Source organism: Homo sapiens, chromosome 6, assembly GCF_000001405.40.
Source record: "Homo sapiens chromosome 6, GRCh38.p14 Primary Assembly".
NCBI lineage: Eukaryota > Metazoa > Chordata > Mammalia > Primates > Hominidae > Homo > Homo sapiens.
The window spans coordinates 137,836,804-137,855,012 of NC_000006.12; the positions used below are offsets into that span (position 1 = coordinate 137,836,804).

The 18,209-nt window shown below is 40.2% G+C and overlaps 1 long non-coding RNA gene across 1 annotated transcript in view, besides 1 other annotated feature; it reads right to left on the reverse strand.

The window, feature by feature from the left end:
- The window catches only part of WAKMAR2 (wound and keratinocyte migration associated lncRNA 2), a 44,565-nt gene that overhangs the window by 13,135 nt on the left and 13,221 nt on the right, over nucleotides 1–18,209 (reverse strand). The window lies entirely within an intron of this gene.
- Nucleotides 13,100–13,179: an enhancer, noted in NCBI's record as "active region_25152". NCBI's record gives its function as "activates an Ori minimal core promoter by ATAC-STARR-seq in GM12878 lymphoblastoid cells {active_cell/tissue: GM12878}" and the evidence as "EXISTENCE:reporter gene assay evidence [ECO:0000049][PMID:35858748]".

The window sequence follows — 18,209 nt, forward strand, 5'->3', positions numbered from 1 at the left end:
AGATGAGCACATATGGATCTAGGTCGTCCTCTGGCTGACTGGGAAATCAGCATCCTGAAAATGTACAGCATGTATACAGCAGAGTGGGAAGAGAAAAAGAAAAGCAAGTGATCAGGTTCACACTGCAGATGGTTGCCTGCTCTGTTTGCATGGGAATTCAACACCCAGAACAGGAAAAAGTAAGGTGACTGACTGCCAGAAGTCCTCCATACGTTGGACCTGGGCCCTGGACCCTGGAATCTATGGATGTTGGGAAACAGGAACCCTAATAGCAAATTGGCTAGACACAAATCATCATTGCTGTGGTTGTTTCCAGACATCTGAAGAACAGCTTACATCGAGGCCTCATTTCAGTGAGTTAAGTCTATCTTAAGAAACTCAAGTCGTGCTATGGAATAGTTGTAAATTAATGTTTCCAATTCAGGGTACATCTATAGATATGTATTTTGAGCTCAATTTTTTTAAAAACCAGAAGCAGATGACCTCTGGTACACTTTATTTTTTATTATCTTATTTTATTTTCCCATAAGTTATTGGGGTACAGTGGATATTTGGTTACATGAGTAAGTTCTTTAGTGTGATTTGTGAGATTTTGGTGCACCCATTACCCAAGCAGTAAACACTGCACCATATTTTATCCCTCGCCTGTCTCCCACTGTTCCCCTCAAGTCCCCAAAGTCCATTGTATCATTCTTATGTCTTTGCATCTTCATAGCTTAGCTCCCACATATCAGTGAGAACATACAATGTTTGGTTTTCCATTCTTGAGTTACTTTACTTGGAATAATAGTCTCTAATCTCACCCAGGTCACTGCAAATGCTGTTAATTCATTCCTTTTTATGGCTGAGTAGTATTCCATTGTATATATATATACCACAGTTTCTTTATCCACTCATTGACTGATGGGCGTTTGGGTTGGTTCCACAATTTTGCAACTGTGAATTGTGCGGCCATAAACATGTGTGTGCAAGTATCTTTTTTGAATAATGACTTATTTTCCTCTGGGTAGAGACCCAGTAGTGGGATTGCTGGATCAAATGGTAGTTCTACTTTTACTTCTTAAGTTTTATTTACGAACTTAAATTTATTCATAAGGAATTTCCACACTGTTTTCCATAATGGCTATACTAGTTTACATTCCCACCAGCAGTGTAGAAGTGTTCCTTGATCACTGCATCCACGCCAACACCTACTGTTTTTTGATTTTTTGATTATGGCCATTCTTGCAGGAGTAAGGTGATATCACGTTGTGGTTTTGATTTGCATTTCCCTGATCATTAGTGATGTTGAGCATGTTTTCATATGTTTCTGGGCCATTTGTATATCTTCTTTTGAGAATTGTCTGTTCATGTCCTTAGCCCACTTTTTGATAGGCTTGTTTGGTTTTCTCTTGCAGATTTGTTTGACTTTGTTGTGGTTTCTGGATATTAGTCCTTTGTCAGAGGTATAGATTGTGAAGATTTTCTCCCACTCTGCGGGTTGTCTGTTTATTCTGCTGATTGTTCCTTTTGTAGTGCAAAGGCTCTTTACTTTAATTAGGTCCCAGCTATTTATCTTTGTTTTTATTGTATTTGCTTTTGGGTTCTTGGTCATGAAACCCGTGCCTAAGCCAATGTCTAGAAGGGTTTTTCTAATGTTATCTTCTAGAATTTTTATAGTTTCAGGTCTTAGGTTTAAGTTCTTAATCCATCTCAAGTTGATTTTTGTGTAAGTTGAGAAATGAGGATCCAGTTTCATTCTCCTACATGTGGCCACATAGCCAATTATCCCAGCACTATTTGTTGCAAAGGGTGTCCTTTCCCCACTTTATGTTTTTGTTTGCTTCGTCAAAGATCAGTTGGTTGTAAGTATTTGGGTTTACTTCTGGGTTCTCTATTCCATTCCATTGGTCTATGTGCCTATTTTTATACCGGTACCACACTGTTTTGGTGACTGTGGCCTTATAGTATAGTTTGAAATCAGGTAGTGTGATGCCTTCAGGTTTGTTCTTTTTGCTTAGTCTTGTTTGGCTATGCAGGCTTTTTTTTGGTTCCATACGAATTTTAGAACTCTTTTTTCTAACTGTGAAGAATGATGGTGGTATTTTGATGGGGATTGCATTGAATTTGTAGAATGATTTTGGCGGTATGGTCATTTTCCCAATATTGATTCTACACATCCGTGAGCATGGGATGTGTTTCCATTTGTTGATGTCGTCTATGATTTCTTTCAGCAGTGTTTTGTAGTTTTCCTTGTAGAGGTCTTTCGACTCCTTTGTTAGATATATTCACGAGTAATTTTTTTAGGCAGTTATTGTAAAAGGGGTTTTTTATTTGATTCTCCACTTGGTAGCTGTTGGTGTATAGAAGAGCTACTGATATGTGTACATTAATCTTGTATCCGGAAACTTTGGTGAATTATTTTATCAGTTCTAGGAGCTTTCTGGAGGAGTCCTTAGGGTTTTCAAGGCAAACAATCATATCATCAGCAAACAGAGAGAGTTTGACTTCCTCTTTACCATTTGGATTCCCTTTATTTCTTTCTCTTGCCTGATTGTTCTGGCTAGGATTTCCAGTACTATTTTGAAGAGGAGTAGTGAGAGTGAGCATCCTTGTCTTGTTCCAGATCTCACGGGGGATGTTTTCAACTTTTCCCCATTCAATATTATGTTGGCTGTGGGTTTGTCATAGATGGCTTTTATTATATTAAGATATGTCCCGTGTATGCCGATTTTGTTGAGGGTTTTAATCATAAAGGGAGGCTGGATTTTGTTGAATGCTTTCTCTGCACCTACTGAGATGATCATGTGATTTTTGTTTTTAATTCTGTTTATGTGGTGTATCACATTTATTGACCTGTGTATGTTAAACCATCCCTGCATCCTTGGTATGAAACCCCCTTGATCATGGTGGATTATCTTTTTGATATGTTGTTGGATTCTGTTAGCTGGTATTTTGTTAAGGATTTTAGCATTTATTTCTATTTTAGCATCTATTTTAACATCTGTTAGCATCTATGTTCATCAAGGATATCAGTCTGTATTTTTCTTTTTTGTTTGTGTCCTTTCCTGGTTTTGGTATTAGGGTGACACAAGTTCATAGAATTAACTGGGAAGAGTTCCTTCTTTATCTTGTGGAATCGTTTCAAAAGGATTGGTACCAATTCTTTGAATGTTTGGTAGAATTCTGCTATGAATCTGTCTGGTCATGGACTTTTTATTGTTGGTGATTTTTTAATTACCATTTCAATCTGGCTGCTTATTATTGGTCTGTTCAGGATATCTAATGCTTCCTGACTTAAGCTAAGGGATTGTATTTTCCCAGGAATTTATCCATCTCTTCTAGGTTTTCTAGCTTACGTGCATAAAGGTGTTCCTAGTAGCCTTGAATGATCTTTTGTATTTCAGTGGTGTCAGTTGTAGTATCTCCTGTTTCATTTCTTAGTGAGGTTATTTGGATTGTCTCTCTTCTTTTCTTTGTTAATCTTGCTAATGGTCTATCAATATTATGTATCTTTTCAAAGAGACAGCTTTTTGTTTCAGTTATCTTTTATATATTTTTGTTTGCTTGTTTCTATTTCATTTAGTTTTGCTCTGATCTTGATTACTTCCTTTTTTCTACTGGGTTTGGATGTGGTTTGTTCTTGTTTCTGTAGTTCCTTGAGGTGTGATCTTAGGTTGTCTGTTTGTGCTCTTTCAGACTCTTTGATGTAGGTGTTTATGGCTATGAACATTCCTCTTAACACCGCCTTAGCTGTATCCCAGAGGTTTTGATAGGTTTTGTCATTATTGTCATTCAGATCAAGGAATTTTTTAATTTCCATCTTGATTTCATTTTTGACCCAATGTTCATTCAGGAGCAGGTTATTTAATTTCAATGTATTTGCATGGTTTTGAAGGTTCCTTTTGGAGTTGACTTCTAGTCTTATTCCACTGTGGTCTGAGAGAGTGTTTGATATAATTTGAATTTTCTTAAATTTATTGAGCTCCTTTTATGGCCTGTCATATGGTCTGTCTTGGAGAAAATTCCATGCACTGCTGAATACAATGTGTATTCTGTGGTTGTTGGATGAAGTGTTCTGTATACATCTGCTAAGTCCATTTGTTCCAAGGTATAGTTTAAATCCACTGTTTCTTTGTTGACTTTCTGTCTTAATGAGCTGTCTAGTGCTGTCAGTAGAGTATTGAAGTTCCCAGTGTTATTGTGTTGCTGTCTATCTCATTTCTTAGGTCTATTAGTAATTGTTTTATAAATTTGGGATCTCCAGTGTTAGGTGCATATATGTTTAGGATTGTGATGTTTTCCTGTTGGACAATGCCTTTTACCATTTTATAATGCCCCTCTTTGTCTCTTTTAAACATTGTCACTTTAAAGTTTTTTTTTGTCTAAGAATAGCTACCCCTGCTCGCTTTTGCATGAAATGCCTTTTCCTACCCCTTTACTTTAAGTTTATGTGAGTACTTATGTGTTAGGTGAGTCTCCTGAAGGCAGCAGATAGTTGGTTGGTGAGTTCTCATCCATTCTGCAGTTCTGTATCTTTTAAGTGGAGCATTTAGGCCACTTACATTCAATATTAGTATTGAAATGTGAGGTACCATTGCATTCATCATGCTCTTTGTTGCCTGTGTACTTTGCTGTTTTTTGGTTTTGCTTTTTAACTTGTATTTTTGTTGTATAGGTTCCATGTGATTTATACTTTAAAGTGGTTCTGTTTTGATGTGTTTCCAGGATTTGTTTCCATATTTAGAGCTCCTTTTAGCAGTTCTTGTAGTGGTGGCTTGGTAATAGTGAATTCTCTAAGAATTTGTTTGTCTGAAAAAGACTGTATCTTTCCTTCATATATAATGCTTAGTTTCACTGGATACAAAATTCTTGGCTGATAATTGTTTTGTTTGAGGAGGCTGAAGATAGGGTCCCAATCCCTTCTAGCTTGTAGAGTTTCGCTGAGAAATCTGCTATTAATCTGGTAGGTTTTCTTGTATAGGTTACCTAGTGCTTCTGTCTCATAGCTCCTAAGATTCTTTCCTTCGTCTTAACTTTGGATAACCTGATGACAATGTGCCTAGGTGAAGATCTTTTTGTGATGGATTTCTCAGGTGTTCTTTGTGCTTCCTGTATTTGCAGGTCTAGATCTCCAGCAAGGCTGGGGAAGTTTTCCTCAATTATTCCCCCAAATATGTTTTCCAAGCTTTTAGCATTGTCTTCTTCCTCAGGAACACTGATTATTCTTAGATTTGGTCGTTTAACATAATGCCAGACCTCTTAGAGGCTTTGTTCATATTTTCTTATTCTTTTTTCTTTCTCTTTGTTGGGTTGGGTTAATTTGAAAACCTTGTCTTCAAGCTTTGAAATTCTGTTTTCCACTTGTTCAATTCTATTACTGAGACTTTCCAGAGCATTTTGCATTTCTAAAAGTGTGTCCAAAGTTTCCTGAAGTTTTGATTGTTTTTTATTTAAGCTATCTGTTTCCTTGAATATCTCTCCCTTCAACTTCTTGTACCATTTTTTGGATTTCCTTGCACTGGGCTTTGCCTTTCTCTGGTCTCTTCCTGACTCGCTTAATAACTAACCTCCTGGGTTCTTTTTCAGGTAAATCAGGGATTTCTTCTTGGTTTGGATCCATTGCTGGTGAACTAGTGTGATTTATGGGGGGTGTTGACAAGCCTTGTTTTGTCATATTACCAGGGTTGGTTTTCTGGTTCCTTCTCATTTGGGTACGCTCTGTCAGAGGGAAGGTCTAGGGCTGAAGGCTGTTGTTCAGATTTTTTTGTCCCATGGGGTGTTCCCTTGATGTAGCACTCTCCCCTTTTTCTGTGGATGTGGCTTCCTGTGAACTGAATTGCAGTGATTGTTGTCTCTCTTCTGGGTCTAACCACCCAGCAAGTCTACCCAGCTCCAGGCTGGTACTGAGGATTGTCTGCACAGAGTCCTGTGATGTGAACTGTATGTGGGTCTCTCAGTCATATCCATGCCTGTTCTGGTGGAGGTGGTGGAGGGTGAAATGGACTCTGTGAGGTTCCTTATGAGCTCAATTTTCTGAGCTACATATGTGCAAATAAACTTCACTGAAGACCAAAGCTTTACGATAACTACATTAAAAGACAATTTTTTATTCTACCTATTTCCTCCTATACTAGTTTAACCATGAATCAAAAAAAAAAAAAAGTGAGCATATATAATGAATAATGCATTTGGCTAGAGCATGGAGTAAGTGAAAAATAATGGTGGAAAGTTAGGTTGGGATCATCATATTGTGGATGGAAAAATGGTTCAGTGGAGAAGTTTATAAATTTGGCAGGCAATAAAAGGTATTTTCAAATTAGACTTTTATAAAATTATAATACTAAGTCACGATTATGGTACAAAATTCAAATTGTGCATTCTTATTAATTCTTCGAAAAGTTTTCTGTGCAATCACAGTTTTTTGAACAGAGGCTTGGGGTGTTCAGAATTGGTATCTCAAGAAGGTTGCTTTAGAGATTATATGAAGGCTGAATTCCAATGGAAAAGAAAGGATGGAGATTAAAGTCAGAGGTCTTGCAGTACAATCATTGACAGGACTTGGTGACTGATGAGTGGGAAGTGCCAGAGAGATGATCAGAGCCAGGATGTAAGTCTATGTAAGTGGGAGGAGGGATGCTGTCATTGGCTGAAATATGGAACCCAGGAAGAGGGAAGTTTGTAGATTTGTTTTGGAGTTGTGGTGAGTTTGGGGTTACTGGCAGGATCCTCATTTGGAAATATACACTAGGCCAACATGGAGCTCAGAAAGAGGCTGATGGTAGAGGTGTGGGTTTGCAGTTCATTCACTTGGAGATCACAGTTGAAATATCTGGGATGGGTGAGATAAGTGGGTTGCATAGTGTTAGAATAGACTAGCTCCCAGAAAACAATTAAGAAATTGAGTGGAAGAAGAGGAGTCAGTGAAAGTGACCGAGGAATGGCCAGAAGTGTGAGAGAAGAACCATGTCACTGTATTGTCTCAGAAACCAGTAACAGAGAAAATTTCAAGGAAGGTTTATCAAACACCACAGAAATGGCAAGGCCACTGGGTTTGGTAACAAAGGAGTCACTGGGAAACATTGAAAGAACAATTTCAGTGGAGCAGTGAGCTAGAAGCCAGAATGGGTTGGAAAGAGCATTGGAAGTGCAGATTTCAAGGGAGTTTGAAGAGAAGATAGATAGACTTATTTATTCATTCACTTATTCACTCATGCATTTATTTATCCAACAGGTAAATTAAATAAATAACATCTCTGCACAAGGCAATTTGCTAGACATTGGGGATAGGTGCCAGCCCTCATGGAACTTACATTCTAGTGGGGACAAAAAATGAGTTAACAGAAAATTAAGCAATTGTTTTGTGATAACTATAATTAAGAAAGTAATTACGTAAATGAGCAAGCAGGCACAGGGATAAAGGTGGAGGGGGAAACTTCTGTAGACAGGATGATCAAGGAAAAGTTAGGAAACGAGATTTCTTTTATCTTAATAGGAAAGAAAGAACCTATTTGTAGGCAAGAAAGTAGAAGAAGAAACAAAAAGTGGAAGACAGGAGCAATACTTATGGAGCAAAGCACAGGAGAAATGGGAGCCTGTTGGATCCTGGCCACGGGGGCTGTAGTGGACCTTGGAGAGGTTCAGGGACACTTCTTCCTTGAAATGAGATTGAAGAAAGAGGAGGAGTGTGGGGAAAAGCAAGAGAGATCAGATTGTTACTGTGTCTGTGTAGAAAGAAGTAGACATAGGAGACTCCATTTTGTTCTGTACTAAGACAAATTCTTCTGCCTTGGGATGCTGTTAATCTATGACCTTACCCCCAACTCCGTGCTCTCTGAAACATGTGCTGTGTCAAACTCAGGGTTAAATGGATTAAGGGTTGTGCAAGATGTCCTTTGTTAAACAGATGCTTGAAGACAGCATGCTCCTTAAGAGTCATCACCACTCCCTAATCTCAAGTACCCAGGGACACAAACACTGCGGAAGGCCACAGGGACCTCTGCCTAGGAAAGCCAGTTATTGTCCAAGGTTTCACCCCATGTGATAGTCTGAAATATGGCCTCGTGGGAAGGGAAAGACCTGACCGTCCCCCAGCCCGACACCCGTAAAGGGTCTGTGCTGAGGAGGATTAGTAGAAGAGGAAAGAATCCCTCTTTGCAGTTGAGACAAAACTGCCTTAGGCCTGGAGGTGGGACATGCGGGCAGCAATACCGCTTTGTAAAGCATTGAGATGTTTATGTGTATGCATACCTAAAAGCACAGCACTTGATTCTTTACCTTGTCTATGATGCAAAGACCTTTGTTCACATGTTTGTCTGCTGACCCTCTCCCCACTATTGTCTTGTGACCCTGACACATCCCCCCCTCGGAGAAACACCCATGAATGATCAATAAATACTAAGGGAACTCAGAGGCTGGCGGGATCCTCCATATGCTGAACGCTGGTTCCCTGGGTCCCCTTATTTCTTTATCTATACTTTGTGTCTTTTTCTTTTCCAAGTCTCTCGTTCCACCTAACGAGAAACACCCACAGGTGTGGAGGGGCAACCCACCCCTTCAGAGGAGTTCATCTCAGTAAGGTAGACCATGAGATCATTCACCAAGCCAGAGATTGTCCTTTGGTCTGGTGACATCTTCGAGTGGCTGCTGCAGGCCAGGAGCTGTGCTGGGCACCAAGCGTGCAAAGTCGAATAACACAGAAACCCGTTTTCAAGGAGTGCATAATGGCTTTAAAGGAGAGAGATTTGAAAACAAATTATTACAACTAAGTATAATAAGTGCTCTAATAGAAATATCCACTGGGTGGAGTGGAGCACAGAGGAAGGAGTGATCAGGACAACCTATGGAGGAGGGAGGGAAGGCGGTTCAGAGGAGGCTTCTTGTAACTTGTGTACTGAATCGCAAATATTTCAAGTATGTAAAGAGTAACCTGGGTGGGAACACTCTGGCCAGAGGGAGCACCATGTCCAGAGGCAGCCAGTAGCATAGTGGGTTAGAGGGAGGGCAAGTTTGAACCGCTAGTGTGTAAGGTTCAAGGGGAGAATTGGGGTAGGAGAAGGAGGTGGCATGCCTGGGCAAAAAAATTGGAGAGGTGAGTGACGGCCAGGCTACAGAGGTCCTGTTTTCTGTATAAGGAGGCTGGACTTTCCTCCTACAGGAATGGAAGTCATTGATGAGTTTAAATCAAAGATTTCACATCTGAGGCCATGTGGAGGAAGAATTGGAAGAATTCCTGATGAGAAGCAAGAAAAGCAATGACAGTTTGAGTTTGGGAAACAACTATTGGATAGAGAAAAGGAAACTGAAAAGAGAGGGGCTTAATTGATACAATTAATGAGATTTGGCTTCCGTCTGAATGTAAGGGTGAGGAAGGAGGAGTCCAGAAGACTCCCGGGTTCGTGGCATGGGGAAATCAAGGATGGAGTGCCCATCCCTAAGATAGAAAACAAATGTAGAGGGGGAACCTAGTTGGGAGTTAGGATGATAAAGTTTGAAATGTAAAAGTGGTTAAGAGGAATGAAATAAACAATCAATCATAAGTGGTTATCAAATGGTACGAGGGTCAAGTTGAAGTTAGCCGCATGAATCAGTAGTAACATCACCAGGAGGTGACCTAAGCTTCCCAGCAGAGCTTAGGAGTGAAGCAGAGAAAACAGGTTCATCTTTCCTCTAGAGCAAAGTGCGGGAATGTGAGAGTGGTAGAAGGTCAAGCAGAAAGAGAACTATCAGGCACCAGTGACGGTGCAGCTCAATGTCACTGAGCTTGAGCTCTGTGCCAGGATAGATGAGGAGCCAGAGGAAAGCCTAGTAAAGAGTTCCGGGACAGTGAAGGGAACAGAAGGTGTTTCTGAGGTCAAACAGAAGTTCAGTGGGAGACGTAGGGATAAGTGGCTATGGTCAGGATAGAGAATCGCAACATGTAGGATGCCAGAGGTAGAGTGCTTTCAGTTGACCTTGAGTTCTAAGATGTGGCTGTGCTCCAAGGGGGCTACTTGCACTAATGTGGCTCGGGTAGTGTCTGAAGTTAGATTTGAGAATTTGATCAGAGAGGACAGTAAGCATGGATGAGGAAGTCACTGTGACTCATGGCAGGGGAGGGTGGAGGGCACCCTCTGAGGAAGATGGAGATATATCCTGAAAGCCCTTCCTGCGGTCTATGAGGCCGGGTGCCATCTGCCTCCCGCCAGCCTCTCTTCCTGCGGCCCTGGTCCAGCCTCCCCACTCCAGCCCAGTGGGCCTTCTTTCAGTTCCTTGAATGCCCTGGACTTTGTTTCACCCCAGGGCCCTCACAAGTGCAATTTCCTCTTCTCAGAATTTCTAACACCCTTCAGCTTCTGCTCTACCTTCTTCCACTCCAATCAGATCTCATTTTGAATATCACTTCCCCAAGAAGACTTTCCCCAAATCGTCGGGCCTTAAGTCTGTGTTAGAACCCTCTGTCAAACTTCCCCCTATTACCTAGTACTTCTTAGCATTTACCACAATTGTAACTCAGTATGGTGTAATGATTTGCTTATGGCCAATCTCAGTGGATAAGCTTTTTGAGGGCAGACACCCTACCTGCCTTGTCTATTAATACAACTCAGTCCCTAATAGAGGACCCACTGATGCATTTTTACCTACCCTTGGTCTGTGAGGATTGGAAGTGGCACAATGCAATGTATGCGGTATTTTGATATAAAATATTGAACTAATATTCCAGAAATACATTTAAAATGTTAGATTAAATGTGTAAGTGAATGTGAAGGTAAATGGTTCACTGGATGGTGAAACAGCTAATCTCTCAAATTAAGACTCTACAGCATATAAATATATAGGCTGCTGCTACCCAAAGGACAATCTCTCAGTCTCTCCCGGAGTACCTCGCTGCCAGATCAATCTTCTTTAAACACCATTTTTATCACAGGACTCATGCTTAAAATTTTCAGAGACTCCATTTCCCTTCCCTGCTGCAACTGAAGTCCCCCCACAGACTTGCAGTGGCCTTTAGAATGTGTCTGGGCCCCGGCTCACTTCTGCTCATGGAAGGCTAGTTCTTTCATGCTTCCATTAACCTATCGGGCTCATTTTCCCACCTCCATGACTTGGCCCACAGTGCCTCCCTTTCTTGGAAGGCCCTCACCTTTCTCCAGAACACACTGGGCATTGTCCCTGTCACTTAAGACCGACCTCAACTCTCAGTTCCTCCCTGGAGCTTCAGCCTCTGGCCGTTTCTTGCCTAGTTGTTTTAGGCTCCTTTGAATTCCTATAGCCCCAGAGAACCACAACATAGTTCTCAATGTATACTGTCCTGGATTGTTCAGTATAGATTCTTGGGAGTTATACACGTCTCATAATAGATAATAAATTCCTCATCAAACCAAGGGGAACCTAAAATAATGTAGATCACCCTTGTCTTCCCCCAGACTATGATGCTGGTCAGGTTATCTGTTTACTGAATGTCCAAACACCTTGAGAAATCATTTTACCTTAAGAATTTCTTTTCAAATTCAATATATTTTGTTTCTATTTATTTATTTTATTTTAATTAATTTTTTTTTTGAGACAGAGTCTCACTCTGTCTCCCAGGCTGGAGTGCAGTGGCGCGATCTCAGCTCACTGCAACCTCCACCTCCTGGGTTCAAGCAATTCTCCTGCTTCAGCCTCCCCAGTAGCTGGGATTACAGGCACCCACCACCGTGCCTGGCTAATTTTTATATTTTTTAGTAGAGATGGGGTTTTGCCATGAGTCAGGAATTCGAGACAGGATGGTCTGAAACTCCTGACCTCATGTGATCCACCGCCTTGGCCTCCCCAAATGCTGGGATTACAGACGTAAGCCACCAGGCCCGGCTGAAATTTAACATATTTTGGAAAATATATTTTAGCATTGCTTTTCTTGTTTTTTCCCCTAGTCTCCTGCGAGTATATAGTTAATGGGATATGTTTGGGATGAATTATAAACAATCCCTTTCTAGAATACATTTACTGCCATAAGGATCTCTCCCAAGTCAGTTATTTGAGGTCATATGATATTTACAAGTGAGGCTGGACTAGGGATAGGAATTCCTGGTATTCTGTGTATTTTTCTAACTGACTGCAGTGACTCTCATAACATATGAAGACATTATTACAAAGTATGTTTAAGGCAATTCAGGACTTTTTTGTGTGTGACTCTTATTTAAACAACTATTTCCAGTGATTTTCTTGGCTGTATATCCCATAGAAATTAGGCAAGCTCTGTCTTTGAATCGCTGAAGGCATATTTCTTATAAAACGAAAACAGTTTTCATTTAAAAAAAAAAAAACCTCTATGTATTAAATCCATAAAAAAGAAAACAGAAAGGAAATCTACGTAACAAATGACAGTTAGTTACGTGTGTGTGGTTAAGGGCTCACTATCATTATATTCATAAAAATATTAATTATGTGCAGGGCTAGAATCCAAGACATATCTATAACTCCTTAGGAAATAATGTACAGGCTCATAGTCACTAATCAGCTGAAAAAAAGTCCTTGGAAAATTTAGAGAATGTGAGATTATTTTGCTTAACCAAGAGAAATAACACTGGATGGTGGTCAAAGCTTATGAACACAGTTTGTATACAAAGATAGGCAGTTCATATATCATTCTTTATCCTTTGAGAAAAGGTAACATAACATTTCAAGGTTCCGTGTCCCTTTTGCAAGTAAAAAAAAAAACAAAATAAAAAAAAAAACGTGGTGGAGGCAATTCTGGAATATCCAGGAAATCTGATCTCACAAATGAGGAAGCTCCCAAATATGGGCATAGAGTGAGACCAATTTTCCAGTGCAAATCCTCTGAGGTATATGCAGTTGGGAATACCCTTATTAAAAATTCCTTTCCCAAATCCAGTTTTAGAAGATCTGTTTAATTGCTAGATAAAACAGAAAAAAAAAGTCTAAAACTCTTTTTAGATTACTGATGGGAAAAAACAACAGTCATGATGTGGGGAATCACCCAAAGTTTTCTATAGACTCATAGGATCCAAGTAATCAGAGGCACTAATTTCAGGAGCCCTGGTTCAAGTGGCATTTCCTTCTGATCCATAACGGGCACCTTTCTGTTTCATATTGTCTGTGCACAGTCCACATATGAGGCCAGGGTCATCACCCACACAGAAAAGAGACAAAAATATGTGTGCCACCCCTACCCGCTTCTGAAAATGAATCTACATCAAAATGCAGGATACAGTCTGAACTTGTACAGTATGCTGTGTGACTAGACCAGGACTCTGGCTAGAGAGGTTAGTAAATGTGAAATACAAAGGCAAAAACTGTTATTTCCATTTGCACATGAATCATATTTGCTACCCGTCATAACCTAGTGACATAAAAGTATTGCAAATCCCCAGAGCCCCATTTGCTCCCTGGAAGGAAATCCCTGATCCCACCGTCCCCAAGTCTGGCCAAGCTAATTTTATCCGAGGACCTAGAGAGCCTGGGGTAAAGACTGTCAGCCTGGAGACTAAGAACAAGGATGCAGCAGCCAGATTGTGCTGCCACTTAAAGAAAGCATGGCTTTGGGCATATTATTTACCCTCTCAGTCTCAGTTGCCTTATCTATTAAATGGGTTTAATAATAGTGCTTACTTTACAAAGTGATCATGGGGGTAAACTAAACCTACATATTTTCTGCTTAGAAAACACTAGACCATTGCCAAGCAGAGGATATTAATAAATGCTATATAACTGTCAGCTATATTCATTGCTCTGATTACTTTAATACCAACCGTGTCCTTGTGCCTTGCCAACAGTTCTCCTGAGGGTTTCTGCTGCCTGCCCTATAAAGGCATCTTCATAAGAACTCTGCACTGACCTTACCTGCCCTTTATAGAACTGAACTTCATTCTGAATTCCTCAAAGAATTGTCCTCAAAATTGTATGACTGTTGACAACTGCAGTGTAGCGATCAGCAAATTCTCTCTCAGGTCATCTTTGAGTGGGTTGGCTCTGAGGTCCAGTCAGGTTCTGAGGGACTCTTGTCCTCACAGCCTGCTTCAGTCAGTGATGCTAAGATTGTAAGTCTAACCTTGTAATTCATCTCTGTCAGGTATCACAAACGCTTTCCCTGCATTAACTAATTTCTTTTTCTTGTCACAATCACCCTGTTTTTAGCCTCACTTTGGACATGAGGAAATTAAGGTACTAAGACATTAAAAACTTTGTTGTGTCACCCTGCTGGAAGTGACAAAGGCTGTCACAGGCAAATCTGGCCCCACGCTCTAGATGAGGTGCTCCCTCATGTTAGTCACCTGCCTGCCACCTGTTTTGGTTGGTGGTGGTTTCACAAAATCTCAGAACCTGGGCTATCCTCTTTGGGATGCTCTTCAACACTTTGGGATCAAGGCCACTGAATTTTCTAGACTGGGGGTCAGGGAACTATGGCCCATTAACTAATTTTTTTACATATTCAATGGTTGAAAAAAATTAAAAAATACTTTGTGCCATATGAAAATTATATGAAACTCAATTTTCAGTGTCCATAAATAAAGTTCTCTTGGAACACAGCCACACTCATTTATCCATGTATTATCTATGGCTGCCTTCGAACTTCAGTGGCAGAGATGAAGAGATGTGACAGAGACCATATGGCCCACAAAGCTGGAAATATTTACTATCTGGCCAACCCTGCTGTAGATTCTTGCTTCTCCACATGTGGTGCAGATACCACCAGCAGCAGCAGCAGCTGGGACTTTATAAGCAAAGTAGTACCTCTAAGGATTACGGGGAGGAATAGAGATATTGACTATACTGAACTCATCACAGTACCAGCCACATAGCAAGCAAATAAATGGAAACTAAATGGTAGCTCATAAGATTGTGAATCCTGGGCATTTGGGACATGTGACTTCCTTAGTAAGAAGTTCCATGGAAAGTCAGGAAACATTTTCATTATATTTGATCAAAAGTGAAGATCAATAATGTGTAAAGCTGTCATAGAATGAGTAAGGAGCTTCCTGCCTACTCCTCATCCTCCTAATTTCTCCCACATATGCCCTGCACCCAGACACTGCACATGCCACCTGCAGCTTCAGCCCCACCCGAGGCTCTGCAATAACCATGTCCTTAGTCATTGCTCAGGTGAGTCGGCATCAAGTCAACCCCACTCAGAGACCTGCTTTCACCACGTGCCCTACATTCTGAAACTGGGTGTCTGCCTTATGCCTCATTTATTCACTCAACAAACACTTAATTACCTCCCATGTGCCAAGCAGAGGGCCTCCTCTTGGAAACAATATAGCAATAAGCAAAACAGACATATAGTTTCTAGAAACAAGCCTTCCCCTTACACCCCAGTGAGTCAGTTTTTTTGTCCAAGTATCTGCCTTCCTAAAACCCTAAATATTCCACTTCCTCCAAGAATAAGTCCCAGATTTGCTCTCCCAGTTCTTGTAGGAATGAGGTCCTCTGACATCTAGTCCAGCCAACATCTCCTGCCAGCTCTGTAACTATGCGTGTCTCCACATACTTCTGCTCCCGGACTCCAGGCCTTTTCCCCAATTGGACCATCAATGTGATGCTGATCTTCCAAATACCTTTCCCACCCACCCAGTGCTGCTTCCCAGGCCCTAGGCCCTCCATGCCTACTTGGAGCCTCTTCTCTGACAGAGCATCCCTTTGGGTACTTTAGTGACAAACCCTCATTCTTTACACGACAGGCCTCACCAGCCTGTGTGGGAACAATCCCATGCTGATTGCATCGATGGAAACTCTAAAAGGAATCCTGGCTTTGTTCATTCACCTTTTTTGATCATGGGGTAGTCCTTATGTTTGGTGACTCATATTGAAACGCCTTGAGTGTTCCCTTCCCTGGGCAATCAGTTTCCCCTGATTCATTGGCCACATGCTTTTCCCTTGGGGAATAAGTAATTTGCTAGGCCATTTTTCCTACTTGCTGATGTATTTCTCAGAGGTTGAATAGGTTACCTGGGAAAGGCCAAATGGAAGTGTGACATAAATAAGTTTTCTGCCAAATGAAGGCATTAAAAAATTAAGACAATTTAACAGAGTACTCCTTGGATATTGATGTGATAGCATTTTCTGTCACATAAAAATGAAAACCTTATCCTCCTGCAAATGCAGCTGAAAAGATAGTTAGATTTCCTAGGATATTATTCAGACTGATTTTCAAGATAGACCAGGAACTACAGCCCTCAGTCAAGGTGCAATTTTACTAGCGAAAACAAGGTATACACTAATAATACCTAGCATGACAATGCTTCTGTTCCAGATGAAGGAGCATGCTCTGACATGCAGTCAAATCATATTTCAATTTATTTTACAGTTGGTTTTATTTAGCTTCTTTAAAATCAGCTAAATTAAGCACTGTGTTAATAGCACAGACTTTGAAGACAAGCAAATTTCCAGATGCAGTTTTACCAGTTTCTAGAGCTGTGACATTAACACTCAGTTATTCTGTCTGTAACATGGGATAATGATACTTACTTCAGAAAATTAAATATGATAAAGCGAATAAAACAGTTAGCTCATACTTAGTATACAGTGAGCGTGCCATAAGGTGTATTACATATATGGATATGGGGTGCTGAGTGTCGGGAGACAATAAATCCAGACTCTACATGTGATCGACATCTGAGCAATCTTATCAACCCCCCTGTTATCCTATGGAGGGAGATCCTCTACCTTCAAAACAAAAATAAAGTAGCTTTGAAAGCTGTAATGTATTTTTAATATTTTCTTCCTCCTGTCCAGAGTTGTCAAGAGAGATGTGAAATGTGACTTTTATGCAATCACCTCTTTCTGGGTCCTGATACTTCCCTTGATCGGCACGGCAGCCATACCCTGAATATCTCCTGTCCAAAGATGGCCACAGATACCCCTAGTGGGACTTCTGGTTGTCTCAATTCACTTTTCACAGAGGTGAGCAGGACATAGTGAGTGCGACATAAGTAGAAAAAGAGTTCCTATTTCAAGGGTAGAGCCAAGTGTGAGTCACAACCATGGAAATTTGAGATTATTGAAAGACCGATTTATCTTATTAGATTAGTCACACATAGTCCAGGATATGGCGATAAGTGTGCATTTGTCATGCTTTAATTTTTTAAGTGTGTGTTATGACCAGGCACTGACTATTATCTTCATTTAATCTTTACAATAACTCTTTGCAGGAAGTACCATTATTATACCCTCTTCACATTTAAACACTCTATGACATCTATACTTAGAAACTTCAAAATACTACTGAGGAGCACAAAAAGTTAAATAGGCATATCATAATCTTCAGTAAAAAGGTCCAATATCATAAATATGTTAAGTCATCCTAAATTAATTCATAAGTTTAATGCACTACCCCTCACAAAATAGTAATTAATTTTGTTGGGAGTCGGGGGAAGACTAGATTAATGGATACTGAAGTTCATATGAAAAAATAAACAAGTAACATTAGCGAGGAAAATCATAGAAAAAAGTTAGAAGATACTCTATTAGACAGTAAAGCATGTTACAAAATTCCGATTTAAACAATGCTTTCTTTGCCTAAGAACAGACAAGAAATTAATGGAACAGACTAGAAAGTCCAATACATCAAAATACACACAGAAGGGTTGGGCGCAGTGGCTCACGCCTGTAATCCCAACACTTTGGGAGGCTGAGGCAGGAGGATCACTTGAGGTCAGGAGTCCAAGATCAACCTGGCAACAAGGCAAAACCCTGTCTCTACTAAAAATACAAAAATTAGCCAGGTGTGGTGGCAGGCACCTGTAGTACCAGTACTTGGGAGGCCGAGGCAAGAGAATCGCTTGAACTTGAGAGGCAGAGGTTGCAGTCAGCCCAGATCGCACCACTGCACACCAGCCTGGGTGACAGAGCGAGACTCTGTCTCAAAAACAAACAAACAAACAAAACACACATGAAAATTTAGTACATGCTAAATTCAGTTGGTATGCTAAATTCAGTGGCAATTGATGTATTATTTAGTAAATGGTATTGTAACAACTGGGTGGCCATATGGAGAAATACAATAAAATGAGGTCTCTACTTTACAGCTTAAAATAAAATAAATTCCAGATGGAATAAATATTTAAATATGAAAAACAAAGTCACAAATTTTTTTTAATTGGGAGATTTTATTTATTTATTTTTTTAATTTCAGAGTGGGAAAGATCTTTCTAAATATGACTTAAAAAACCCAGAAGCCATAAAACAACTTTTAAAAAAACTCTGCTTGGTACTTTGGAAAGACATGCAAGATGAAAAATAAAATAAAA